Genomic DNA, 14,310 nt, shown 5'->3' with positions numbered 1-14,310 from the left:
CTGCCACCTGGTGGAGCACGCACACCGGTGACAGTGATGACCAAGGGGTCACGAAGCTCCAGGCCTACGGAGATACCGCTCAGAGATCCACTGTCTCATTAAGACAAATAAGACTCTGACAATATTTGCAATGAATTAATTGGCTAATTTCTCATCAATGGCCTTATGACAAAGAGGAAGAATTGAGCAGGTTGAGCAACGCCGCTTCAGGGGCGCTGTGTTCAGTGACATGGTGACAGGGTGGGACACTGACTTTGGCACCCCCAGAGGTTGTTTTCCAATAAATGTACTTGCTACATCTTTCAATCCTATAAGAACCCTAGGAAGAGAAAGTAGTATGTCACTAAAAAATCTCATCTTTATAGCTATCACGTTTGTTCTCTGCATTGTGACCTTTGAATTAATCCCAATTGTTGTTTTTGTTTTTGTTTGACAGAGTCTCACTCTGTCACCTAGGCTGGAGTGCAGTGGTGCAATCTCAGCTCACTGCAACCTCTAGCCTCCCAGGTTCAAGCGATTCTCCTGCCTCAGCCTCCTGAGTAGCTGGGACTAGAGGTGTGCACCACCATGCCTGGCTAATTTTTGTATTTTTAGTAGAGATGGGGTTTCACCATGTTGGCTAGGCTGGTCTCAAACTCCTGACCTCAAGTGATCTGCCCACCTTGGCCTCCCGGAGTGTTGGGATTACAGGTGTGAGCCACGAGTTTTTTTACTAGCATGGGATTTCGAGTCAGCCTGACTTACGCTGAGACTCAAGCATACAGTAGCTAGGAGGTGAGGGGAAGGTGATGACCTCTTGGAGCTCTCACTTAAAATGGAAATAAGGATGCTTTTCTTGCAGGTTGTTGAACAGGGATAAAGGTATATGAAAGCTAACCAATAAACCAGGGGCATTATTCTTGCTCTGATTCCATTAAAGACACCAGAAGCAGCTCCCTCCGTGTTGGGGTCATCTATAAGGCAGATCATCACCAGGCTCCAGGTATCTAAGTGCAGAAGCCGAGCCTTCAACACAGACTATCATGGCCTGAGCTTTGCTAGCTTGTTCAGCAAACTCCTGTGCCAAGTTCCTAGAATCTGTTTCCTCCAAATGCTGACTGATGCAGTAAAATATTAACACAATACGTTAGGCATCAACTGCTTTTAGAGTTTCGAGTTTTACAAATTGATATAAGATGGAACGAAATATCTATCATCTACAACAAATTCTATTGTTCCCAGAAGGGGCAGATAAATCTCAAGGCATAATTATAGTCCTGCCTGCCATGACCTCTGAAGATATATATCTGCTTGGGAAAGAATGGGATAATTCCTCTTTACTGAAGAATATTTGGGTTTCTATTTAAAACATACTTTTAATGAAAAATTTGTATGAATACTTTATTTTTGCAACTTGGGCCATCTTTGCTTTCTTTGGGCTTCACTTTTCTAATAATCTAACAGAAACTATTGGTCACAATTTGCTGAAGATCCACATGCGTCTTCCCTTTGTCTAAAGCCCACATTAAATTAGTTTATTCGAGTTTGTTTTCCAAGGACTTGCCTGTATTCTAAGCTGAGTAGAAAACAGAGAGCAGCAGCTATAAACGCTCATGCTGTGATTAATGCTCACCTATGGAAAAATGCTTTCTAGCCACTCCTGCTGTTAAAATTTGCTTGGGAAATGAGGATGCCTCAACCTAGATATTCACAGGAGCCTACATGACACTATCTGCAGCACAATTCAGTTTCTTTATCAACCTTTCCTGAGCACCTCACCTTTGCAAAGCATGACAGTAGAAACCACAGAAGACAGGAAAGAGAAACATGAGGTGGGGAACAGGAAGGCCAGGAGAAGGGAATGAGAATAGGGGAGGGAAGGAGGAGGGAAGAGGAGACGAAGAAATAATGAAGATAAAACAACAAAAAATTCTCCTCGACAGACTTTCCTAGTTCTGCAACCATTTTTCATCTGTGTCTGACTCAACATGTGGTTTCACCAAACCCTAACCAATGTCTTTTCTGCTCTGGGTTCCAAAGGTGAAGCTGATCAGGCATCTGAGGGTCGTGTGGGGGACGCCTGCCCAGCACTGAAAACTAAACTCGCTCCTGCTCTGGACAATACATTATTGAGAGACCAGATGAGGTTAGCAGTGCAATGTGAGGTCATGAAAGAATGAAGCCGGGGGGCCCAGTCAAAAGCAGGCACTGAAACCCGGCCCTGGGAGCACAGCCAAGCTCAGAAAGGACAATAAAACAAGAACAACACGCCGCTGAAACCCCCTCGGAGTGATGGGTAGAGCAGCACTAATACCACTTGCCCAACCCATTCCCAATGCACTGCTGAATGTCTGACCAGAGTAGTTTACCGTAATCCCATAGATATGTTCCAGATTTGTCTCTGATGACATGTGGTGGGCTGAGAGAGGCTTCTATTCTGCTAGTGTGGGTATAACCAGGAACCCTCGTGGGAGGCCAAGGGCCACCTCACCTTGCCTGAGAGGAGGCTGCAGGTGATTACAAAGCAGAGGGGAATGTCCGGCTCTGAAGAACCTCCAGGGTCAACTGCAGGAACCAGCACAGGAAGAGGGCAGAGTTGCTCTAGGAAGGGGGCTTCACAAATGGGGAAGTGAGTGGACTCAAGTGACCCCCTGACATCCTTAGTGTCATTATCTAGGGAGAGTCCCAGAGGTGCCACGATACCAGCACCCTTGGCTGTGAGAACTGGAACGCCATTTCCCGCCCTAAGGGTTAAACAGCTCGTCCATGTTCTACCCTTCACTTTGCCCTGCATATTTCTAATTAAAAGAAAGAAAAGAACACTCTTACCCATGAGGAATTTTGCTCAGGACGTAATATCCAGTATACGAGTGTTGATATATCTGCAACAGACAAAAAGGAAAAAAGGTAGGCATTGAGACAAAGGCTGTTACGATGATATTTTTCAAATCACTGTGAATCCTAACAAACATCAGTGAACCAAAAGCAGCTAATCCCAACACCTGGAGACAAAGTCTTTTATTTACTTAGGAAGTCAATTTGCATATCCTGTTTATTTTATTTTCAGCATTTGCAATGGTTTATAGGGCAGCCAGAGGCTTGATGTCATCTCCATGGCTACCTGGTGTGTGATTAAATTAGGGGCACAGATTTCAGGCTTAACTAAATATAGCACAGAACTAATGAGGACACCTTGGTCATTGGAGACCATCAGGCACCGTCAGCTAGACCCAACGGGTCAGTAAGACCCATGTACGGCTAGAGTTCCCTGTGGGTTATGGGAAGGGGTCCACCAGAAATTCCACTGTGTGTCTTCAGTGAGTTGCAATATTGAAGTCAAGGCAGGCTTAATTGGGCACACTTTTGACCCCCTGTACAACGGGATATGCATCTTTTGGTTTCAAGAGAGTAGTCAACAAGAACTTACTGAAAAAAGGGCAGTTGGAAGTATCACGGCTTTAAAATGGAGGTAACAGAAAACCAGAAAAACAGTGCTTCCAAACTCCTGTAACCCTCAAATCTCGGACGCCTTTCTTAACCTCCTGAGCCAGGAAATGACTCCACAATCCATAGATAACCATAAGCAGAATTCGAGGGTTACCCAAAAGAAGGGAGAAGATGGCGGTTCAAGAAATGTTAGCATCCTTCATCGCCAGCCTCCTGGGTAGAGACCTTGTCGAACATACGGAATATGTGGGTTACTCTGTTGCGTTGAACCATATTTCATTTCCCCCAACCCTTTCCTTTACTTGTGAAACCTCTGAGAGCTGGTGCCCTATGTGGCTAAATGTTCAGTGACCAACATTTAAAACCACCTTTCTAAAGATAATAGGTGAGGGACGTGGAGGCAAAGGCAGACATATCCAAGGTAGAGTACTTTGAACAGGGAAATGCATTTGGAGGACCAATGATGGAAATGAGCTTGCAAAGAAAACAGGTAGGATTTGCTAATACCACCATTCCCTACCTAGCCTGCACCACTGAATTAACTTCTCGAAAATCACAATGGTCTTGGAGTTATTTGGAGGAACAGGACCCAGATATAAAAATAAACAACAGCACTTAAATCCCAACAATCTGGTGCTTTCAGAGATCTTGAGACTCCTGAACCAGAAATATGCGGCCCGGGGCCCCTTGCTTTGAGGGCAGCAGATGGGAAAGTGCTGCTTTAGTCATAAAGAAACAGCCACTAACAGACAGGACTGTCTAGGAGAGCTTTATGGAGCTGCTACAGCAATCTAATAAGGAACACAGGAACTTAACTCCTTTTTCTATTTCTGCCGGGATGAGTGGTGCTGCTTGCCCAGGAGAAGGAAGGAAGGGCCTGGTGCTGGCTCCTGTGTCCTGAGCAGGTCACCGCTCAGAGAGGACCCATTAAAGGACCCCATGCTGCACTGTGACTAAGCCATGCCTGTGTGAGCTGGAACGGCTTCTTCAGATGCAAGAGCAGGAAGCTAGACAGAGCTGATCTCAGGTTTCCATGGTTATGGTATATGGTATATTATATAGAGTTTCTGAACTCTCCCTCCAAAACCGCCTTTTCATATGATTGATCTCACTTTGTTTTCATAGCATCCCTAGGGGGCAGAAGTTACCTTTGGTCAGGTAAGAAACTGAGGCACAGAAAGAGAAGAAGAGGATAAAGGAAAGAGAAAGGGGGAAGAGGAGAGGAGGAGAGAGAAGAGAAGAGATGGAACCTAATTCTGTACCCTTTAGTGTTGGCTGACTTAGTGACCCTCATGAACAGAATACAGTAGCAGTGAGGGTGTTAGGCTTCTGCAGCCAGCTTATAAGAGGTATCGTGGCTTCCTTCTTGCTGTCTTTCATATCACTTGCTCTGAGGAAGCTGGCTGCCATGTTGTGAGGACACTCAAGCAGCCCCATGGAGAGTCTGAGGCTCATACCCGTTAGACTGCCTCTTGCCAGAAGCCATGTGAGTGGATGTGGAAATGGGTTCCCCATCTCCGGTCAAGCCTTCGGATGACTGCAACCCTGGCTAATGTCTTGATGCTGGCCTCATGAGGGACCCTGAGCCAGAGCCACACAGCTAAGATGTTCTCGAGTTCCTGACCCACAGTGACTGCAAGATTAAATGTTGGCTGTCTTAAGCCACTGAGTTTGGGGTAATTTCTTATACAGCAATAGGTAAGTAATATAGCTAGTTTAAATCCAGAGAAAACAGATAATTTTAAAATCAGATTTAGATACGTTTCTTCTGAACTACTGGGTTTCTTCTTTGTAAACTTCCAGCAACTTCTAAAGCAAACAGATAAATTCCTTGTTAAAATAGTATCAGGACAGAGGTGGTGAGGGGCTGGGAGAGGACCACTCACAGACTGAAGCACTCAGAGGAAGCCTTTGATATTACTTCAGCCAAGCCAAGTCCCAGAGATGGTGACAGTGGTGAGCTGAAGTGGGTGGTGGGGGTGGGTGGCATTTATGGAGCACGTACCACATATTAGGTACTCTGACAGCTCCTTACCATGCAAGAACTCATTTAGTCTTTATGAGGCAGATATTATTGTCCTATTTGTACAGGTAGGAAAATAAAATCTTAAGGAATTTAAGTTAAAGTCAAGTGGGATTTGACCTGAGTTCTGTCTCTCTCTAAACAATCCCTTGGAAATTGCCTGAACCAAGCTTGTATCTCGTAACTCTCAAGTCAGAAGTCCGTGTTCGCTGTTGTCAGCTGAAAATTTCAGTATAGCAACAAATATAATAAATATGCAAAGTAAGAATAGCTGCCATCTTTCCTGGTTGAAGGTCCATTGCTTTAATCCATCTAGAAACAGTGATTTAAATTCATTCCCTGGTTATGCCATCCCCAAAACAAACACCTAGAGTTACATCTTTACATTCATCTTTGAATATACCACTACACACCCCTGCAATTCAGCTCTGTGGATATCTTTTAAGTGGTGCTCATAAGAAACGGGGAGAGCAATTAAAATAACCCTATCAAGGCCATGGCAAGAAGAAAGAGAAGAAGGAAGAAGAAGGAGAAGAAGGAGACGAAGGAGAAGGAGAAGGGGAAGAGGAGGAAGAGGAGGAGGAGGAGGAAGAAGAGGAGGAGGAGGAGGAGAGAACTGCTTTTAATTGTTCGTCTGTACCGTTAGGCAAGAAACCCCCAAACCAAACCAAATCAAAACCAAAATGTATGCATGGGGACTAGAATAGAATATCTGGAAAATGGAATCGCCTATAAGAAAGGCTGAAACATACATGTGCATGTGTCTTTGTAGCAGCATGATTTATAATCCTTTGGGTAGGAACCAACCCAAATATCCAACAATGATAGACTGGATTAAGAAAATGTGGCACATATACACCATGGAATACTATGCAGCCATAAAAAATGATGAGTTCATGTCCTTTGTAGGGACATGGATGAAGGTGGAAACCATCATTCTCAGCAAACTAGCGCAAGGACAAAAAACCAAACACCGCATGTTCTGACTCATAGGTGGGAATTGAACAATGAGAACACATGGACTCAGGAAGGGGAAAATCACACACCAGGGACTGTTGTGGGGTGGGGGGAGGGGGGAGGGATAGCATTAGGAGATATACCTAATGTAAATGACAAGTTAATGGGTGCAGCACACCAACATGGCACATGTATACATATGATATAAACCTGCATGTTGTGCACATGTACCCTAAAACTTAAAGTATAATTAAAAAAAAAAAAGAAAAAAAAAAGAAAGGCTGAAACAAAAATGAATAAAGTCAAGAAATAGAGAAAACCTGAGAAGCTGGGTCTGCCAAGTGTGGGAATGTGAAAGTGGCATTCCAGAACACACTGTTGATACAAATAGAAGGCTTCAGCGTGGAAGTGCAAGTGTGACTCGAGCACTACTCTTAAAAAATGGGGAAGTGGGAAGAAGAGAAACAATTTTCTCCTTGCTCCAAGATGAAGCAATAAAATATCATTGTCTTCCACAAAATCTTCCTCAACATCAAGCCAAAAGAACTGCAGGCACAAAGGGAATGACTGTTTAAAGAGTGCAAATTGAAGCGTTTTCATTTGTACAATGTTTTATCTAGAAAGGCACTAAGAAAGCTGCATCTCACTGAAAGAATTTGTTCCTTAGAGAGATAAAGTCTTTTTCTTTTTCTGTGGTCAATGTTGTATTTATGTTTCTTTCTTTAAAATAATAGACTCTAGGCCAGGAGTGGTGGCTCACGCCTGTAATCCCAGCACTTTGGGAGGCTGAGGCGGGTGGATCACCTGAGGTCAGGAGTTCAAGACCAGCCTAGTCAACATGGTGAAACTCCATCTCTACAAAAATACAAAAATTAGCCAGGCAGGATGGCGGGTGCCTGTAATCGCAGCTACTCCGGAGGCTGAGGTGGAAGAATCACTTGAACCCAGGAGGCGGAGGTTGCAGTGAACTGAGGTCATGCCCTTGCACTTCAGCCTGGGCCACAGAGCGAGACTTCATCTCAAAAACTAAATGAATAAATAAATAAAAATAAAAATAAAAAATAAAATAGACTAAATATTTCTGATCATAAAAAATACAAAGATTGGAAATTAGTAAGGCTGCTTTCAGTTATTTTTCTAAGAGTGCCATTTTTTAGAAGTTCATGAATATGAGTTATTTTAGTCTCATCCTATAGCATTACATTAATATCTCTCCTGGAAAATGAATAAAGGAGAACTTATTTCCCAAAACACTATCCACAAGATGGAAAAACAGTTTCAGCAAATTATTTTTTTAATATATTACACACAAAATAGTTGACATTGGCATTCAATAATTTTTTAGAAAGCAGTTGAGGATTTGTCACAGGGTGAGTTCATATTTGGTCTGCTTCTTATCTCTCTAAAATTTCCCTCTAGTCAGGAAATTTCTACCCTCTCCCCTCCTTCTCTCCGATGGACCCATACTTTAGATTTCTAAGGTCTTTTCTTTCTCTGTACCATCGTGGACACTGAGTTTTTTCTTTGGCCACTCATCTACTCCCTTTACATCCTCCTCCCCTATGAAATCTTCCATTCTTGAGATTTTAAACCGTAACCTAAATTACCTAAATATCAGTAACTCCCACAGGTCCAGCTACAGACCAATATATCAGATGACTGCATCCTATGTCTCACAGGCACCAAAAACTCAATTTGCTCCAGAATAAACTCTTCAGCAGCCCCCAAACCTTGCTCCCTTTTGATAATCCCTATCTCAGTTGGTAGCTCCATCATGCACTCAGTAAGCTGAGTTGAAAATGTAGTTTTCCTTCCCTCCATTCTTTGACCCCTTGCTTCCCCTACTCCAATTCAATCAAATAGCGCCCAATTTCTAATCAGTAACTTTCTAAGTCTTTCTCAAATCCATCTTCTACTCTTCCTTCCTAGGTCAAGTGCCCTAAGTCAGGCCTCTCCTCCATCCTTCCTCTCCTACAAAGAAGCTACCGTTAAGTCACGTTTAGCCTAAAGCTGCCTCCTTACATGTTTTAAGTTCAGCCTAAAGGTTTCTCTGCACATTGTGAATTATAACCAGTGGAGGTGTAAACAGACCATAACCTACTCTTGCGCCAATCACCAAGTTTTGGCTAATCAAACGTAGCCAATTGTTTGAAGCATGTTCAAATAAGGTGAATGCTGAGCTGTAACGAATCCAGCTGTTTCTGTCCCTCACTTCTGTTTTCTGTACATCACTTTCCTTTTTCTGTCCATAAATCTTCTACCACCATGGGGCTGCACTGGAGTCTCAGAGCCTATTGTGGCTCAGGAGGCTGCCCAATTTGCAAATTGTTCACTGCTTAATTAAGCTTTAAATTGAATCCGGCTGACGTTTTGAAACTGCCATCTTCCTTTGCAAGACTAAGCTCATACCCTCCTGCTTCTTGTTGAACTTTAACAACTTCTCCACTGTGCCTTACATTTCTAACCACTCATTCTCCCCTATTACTTCTTCTAATTCTGTAGAATATAACTCAAATCTCCCTCATTGAAAACAAACAAACAAACAAAACAAACAAAAAACCTCTGGCCATATTCCCTTGGAACTGCTCCTTCCTTTTTTTTTTTTTCTTGAGACAGAGTCTCGTTCTGTTGCCCAGGCTGGAGTGCAGTGGTGCAATCTTGGCTCACCGCAACCACTGCCTCCCATGCTCAAGTGATTCTCCTGCCTCGGCCTCCCAAATGCTTGGATTACAGGCATGAGACACTGCACCCAGCCTCCTTCTTGTAACTATCATGGCCCTTCACAAGCAAAGTCTACACTGCTTCACTGGCTCACTTTCTATTCACTTTTAACCCACTGCAATATACTCCTAGCATTCTCAAAATGAGTTCTCCCAGCTAACCCTTATCTACCAAACACGTGGCATCTTTCTGATTTCCAGCCTGCAGCACGTGATGAAGGCAACAGGAGCTGTTCCCCTTTCCTGATTCCAGGACCTGCTCTCCTTCGCCTCCTGCCCCTCCATCCAGGCTCTTCACCTTTCTCTCCTGCTGCTGCAGACCCGAATGGAAGGCAGGCACCAACCTGCCATCCCAGGGGCTCCTTCCTCACTGGTCTAAGCCTTGGTCTGGCAGGTCCCCATCATTTCTGCTTTCTGACACAGCTTCCTACTGAATTTACGTCTTTATGCTTCATGTATCTTCTGAGTTCTAAACTTATATTTTTAGCTTGGGCTGGACCTTTCCACATGGATGTTTTTATGCCAAACTTTAACCCCAAATTCAATATTTTGAAAATGAAATACATTCTTTTTTTTAGGTGAAATTTTTTATTATTTTATTTTTAAATTTTACTTTAAGTTCTGGGACATGTACAGAATGTGCAGGTTTGTTACATAGGTATACATGTGCCATGCTGGTTTGCTGTACCCATCAATCTGTCATCTAGGTTTTAAGCCCTGCATGCATTAGGGATTTGTCCTAATGCTCTCCCTCCCCTTGCCTCCCATCCCCCGACAGGCCCCAGTGTGTGATGTTCCCCTCCCGGTGTCCATGTGTTCTTATTGTTCAACTCCCACTTATGAATGAGAACATGTGGTGTTTGGTTTTCTGTTCTTGTGTTAGTTTGCTGAGAATGATGGCTTCCAGCTTCATCCATGTCCCTGCAAAGGACATGAACTCATTTGTTTTATGGCTGCATAGACATTTATGCAGCCAACAAACATGAAAAAAAGCTCATCATCACTGGGCATTAGAGAGATACATTCTTTTTCTGCTAAAGAATTCTCTGTTTCCTTCCATGTACCTGGTCTTTCCACAGAAAAATATTGGAATTCGCATCAGCCATTCCCCTTGCTTATTTTCCTTACTGTCCATGTAAACATGATTACCAAGTTTCACTTGACTTTGTAACTTGAGAATGCCCCTTAAATTTACACCACGTTTTCTACCCTCTAGCACGGCCCTAGTTTGGGATGCTGGAGTAGCCAAAGTTGCCCCTGTCTGGCCTGCCTGTGCTCCCCTCCCTCCTCCACATCACCTCAGATATTCCCTTCCTAACAATGCACCAGGCTGAGGCCAGCAGAAGAGGGTGGCTAGGTGTAGCTCTGGAGTAGGACACAGCTACTACTATTAGGCAGTTTTAGAGTAAGGCGCAGAGGTCATCTGAGCCTGTTATTCACTTGCTGGGTGAACTTGCACAAGTTGCTTATCTGAGCCTCAGTTTCCTTTTGTGTAATACAGGGCTAAGGGTTGTGAGGAAATTCAAATCACAAGAAAGGAATAAAAAACACTCTTTTCTAAATTCTGAGAATTGCATGATCTAGTTACCAGCATTGTGTAGAGTCCACGAAACTCTTACTTTTCTACTCTCTGGGGCTCTTGGCAAACCGGAATCCCATTAAGAATGGCAGAGTTGCAGCTGCCTTCAATGACTGAGATTGTTACCCAGGATTTTGGACTGGGTGTCTGGTCAGCATTAGTGCAGTCCACTTAGAGCATGTATGAGGATGGATGGTCTCCCTGAGGTGGTGAGCTCCCCAGCATGGATAGCATATGAGCAGGGGCTCGAAGCACCACTGGAGTCCTCTGGAATGGGTGCATGCATTGCAGGAAAATTGCTTCAGGGGACCTCCACAGTCCTTTCCTTATTTAATCCTACAATTCCATTCAAAGAGGAAGTGAAAAATAACAGGAGGTGTAGATGAGCCCAGAGTCAGATTTTCTTAAGCTAGAATCAAGAACCCCATGGCTGGCATACACAGTTAAAGAAACACAATATAGTAACATAATGAGAAGCAAGGCTGAAAATACTGGAAAAGTTAACACAGAGAAAAGGCAGATGAGACAGAGAAAAGAAAGTGAGATTTAGAGACTGGGTGGTAAAAAAGAGAAAAAAAAGGAAAGTTATCTGCATGAGATGTCAGGGGTGAGAAGGGAAAAAAAGTAAAACCTGAAGGAAAAAAATAAAAGCACCAAAAAGAAGCTGGAAAATATTCTATTTCTTGGCTCTAAAACTGAGGAAAATGAGAAAATGAAGTGTTTACTCAAAGGGTTTATTTTCTTGCAATTTTGAAGTGTTCCATCATTAACAGATAAAAAAGAAGTTCCGTTAGGTGCTAGATGGCACAGTCATATCCATATCTGGAAATTAACACAATAGACAGTCCCCTAGGAGACAGAAAACAATCTGCTTTCACAATCCAAGCCGAGGTTTTGTGGACTGTGACAGACACTTCATGAAAGCAATGTCCTGTACATATTCCTTTTTTTACTCTGATAACCTTGAGGAGTCCGAGAAGATCAATCAAACAGTTAAGTCTGAATTACAGCCCCCATTCCCCGCCACACCTTTCACCTGACATGAGGAGAGGTGAGACCAGGAAACAGATGCCTCATTTTTCAGAAATACTTCGCGAATTGCCACATTTACATGGTATCTTCCTTAATCTTGGTCTTGGCTGGTTTTAGTAATTAATTCCATCCACTGTCATGGTCCTGCACGATGTAGCAGCTGCTGTGCTTCCAGGAAGCCCCTGGGGACTCGCTTTGTGGAAGGGCTAATTATCAGGTGGGCATTCAGGGCAGGGGAGGCAGAAGCAGACTTTCCCCATTTTCCACCCAGATCCTTCTTTGGATAGTTAAAATAAACGAGCTCATCTCTAATAATGTGGGCGGAGACAAGAGCTACCCAGCTCATAAGGTCTTTCTGGGAAGACATGTTGTCCTATCTTGTCTAAAACCTTCTCCCTTAACATTTGAAGTAACAGGTCCAGTTGAGGGTGTCACTTTTTTCTAGTGGTGAGACCAATAAGCCAAAATACTCCAGAGAAGATGACCAGGTTGGCTGAGTCTGGAAACAAAGCTACCTGAGAGATGCTTGGAGCAAGTGGAAGTATTCTGCACAGACAAGAGACGACCCGGGGGAGAGGGATAGATGTCTTTAAGGTTTTAGAGAACTTCATGAGTACATGCATGTCAGTAGGCCTGGTCTCTTTTGCTTCCATGGGAAGAATAAGGCTGACAAGTACACATTAGAAGGAAATAGATTTCAGAACCATGAAACTGTCTTTTGGTAGTCTGAAATACTTCAACACTGAAAAGGCTCAACAGCCCCTGTTAATAGAAGGATGGAAGCCATTTGTTGGTGCATTCAGAATGCAGGAATGCAGGAATTGGTGAGATGGAACCAGCAACCACTAACATTCCTTCCCGCTCAGAAACCCTGCAGCTCCCAGGCAAGCAGGTGCTGACCTCTGCCTCCCCGCTATCTGCTCTCAGTGGGTACATAACTTTAACTGCTTCTTGTTGTTGGCTACAGCTGCCTGAACCATGAATAAATGCATTCAGGCCTTAGCATGTCACATTTGGCTGTGATAAAAGTTATTTAAGTCCCTCCCACATGCAAAACCCACACTGCCCCCTTCCCAAGATTCTGCAGAAGTCACATCCCTCCATGGCGTCAGACTCCTGTTGCATTTGTACCTCTCACTGGGCACTCACCCAAAGACCCGGCATCTTGCCAAAACTTCTGACTTCTTGTCTGGTGTCTGGGCCCACTCCTGTGGCTGATGGTCCAGTGAACTGTAAGTCCTGATGCGGAAGTTGAAGGATGATGGAAAACTTCCTGAATGAATCAGTCCTCCCTAGAGAAGTCTTCCCTTCTCTTCTCTCAAGCAGGTCGTAGTCACCCCCATATTAATGACCATATTTGGCAAACATTTCTGCACTCCTTGCCAATATATTTTATACCATTTGCATGAAGTTAAACGTCTTGTTATAATGACTTAAAAGGAAAAAAGGCCGGGCGTGGTGGCTCACGTCTGTAATCCCAGCACTTTGGGAGGCCGAGGCAGGTGGATCACGAGGTCAAGAGATCGAGACCAGCCTGGCCAACATGGTGAAACCCCGTCTCTACTAAAAATACAAAAAAAAATTAGCTGGACATGGTGGCAGGGGCCTGTAGTCCCAGCTACTTGGGAGGCTAAGGCAGGATAATGGCGAAAACCCGGGAGGCAGAGCTTGCAGTAAGCCGAGATCGCGCCACTGCACTCCAGCTTGGGCGACAGAGCGAGCGAGACTCCATCTCAAAAAAAAAAAAAAAAAAAAGGAAAAAAAATTAGCCAGGCGTGGTGGTGGGTGCCTGTAGTTCCAGCTATTTGGGAGGCTGAGGCAGGAAAATAGCTTGAACCTGGGAGGCGGAGCTTGCAGTGAGCCAAGATTGAGCCACTGAACTCCAGCCTGGTGACAGAGTGAGACTCTGTCTCAAAAAAAAAAAAAAAAAAAAAAAAAAAAAAAGAAAAAATTTCTAATGGACCCCAGATAAAATTTGAAATATTTAGTAAAAGGTAAAGATGTTTAGCTCATATGACATAAAACAAATATTAGGAAATAGCTCCATGTAAACCGAAGGTTCTTGATCTTTCCCTTGGCTGCACATCTTTCCTTCACTGCTCTAGGCAATTTACTGCAACCATTTATACAAGGGTTAAAATATAGAAGACATACAGTTGTCAGATTCCAAACACAAAAATAATGGACAAATCCTTAGGATTCAGTATTTATATCTCAGCTCTTTCTCTCCTCCTGGAATAAACTAACTTATAGTAGTCACTGGTCTTTCACAAAACTTACATTTAAGAGAGTAGAAATGGTGAGTTCTTCTTGAACCTGTAGCTTCTTCAAATATGTATCTCAAACGACTTCTACTTCCATACCACACCCAACGCTATTATACCTTAGTTCCTTCTTTTCTGATCAATCCCTAGTTGTTCAGGTCATTGATAGAGAATGTTTCTCGCATTCTCTGTACCCTTCACATAGAATGCCTTCTTTTTGCAATGAGTCGTTAAGAGGAGAACATCTAAGTATAACAAGATGATTAAAACCGAGGATGCCTCTAAATAAAATAAAAAGCTTACATTTAG

General features: G+C 43.4%; 1 protein-coding gene across 13 annotated transcripts in view; it reads right to left on the bottom strand.

Moving 5' to 3' along the window:
* Nucleotides 1-14,310, bottom strand: part of DPP6 (dipeptidyl peptidase like 6) — a 1,146,153-nt gene that overhangs the window by 253,604 nt on the left and 878,239 nt on the right. For 12 of the 13 annotated variants that reach the window (NR_157195.2, NR_157196.2, XM_047419951.1 and 9 more), the window contains one exon: nt 2,809-2,861. The exons of the other annotated variant lie outside the window; for it this stretch is intronic. Coding sequence is in view for 10 of the 12 variants with exons in the window: in XM_047419951.1 (XP_047275907.1) it covers nt 2,809-2,861 (53 nt within the window). In the remaining 2 variants the exon portion in view is untranslated. The remainder of the gene's footprint in view (nt 1-2,808; nt 2,862-14,310) is intronic. 13 annotated transcript variants of the gene reach the window in all.

The sequence above is a fragment of the Homo sapiens genome, chromosome 7, assembly GCF_000001405.40.
Source record: "Homo sapiens chromosome 7, GRCh38.p14 Primary Assembly".
In the NCBI taxonomy this organism is placed as follows: Eukaryota; Metazoa; Chordata; class Mammalia; order Primates; family Hominidae; genus Homo; species Homo sapiens.
This window is presented reverse-complemented; position numbering and strand designations above follow the sequence as displayed.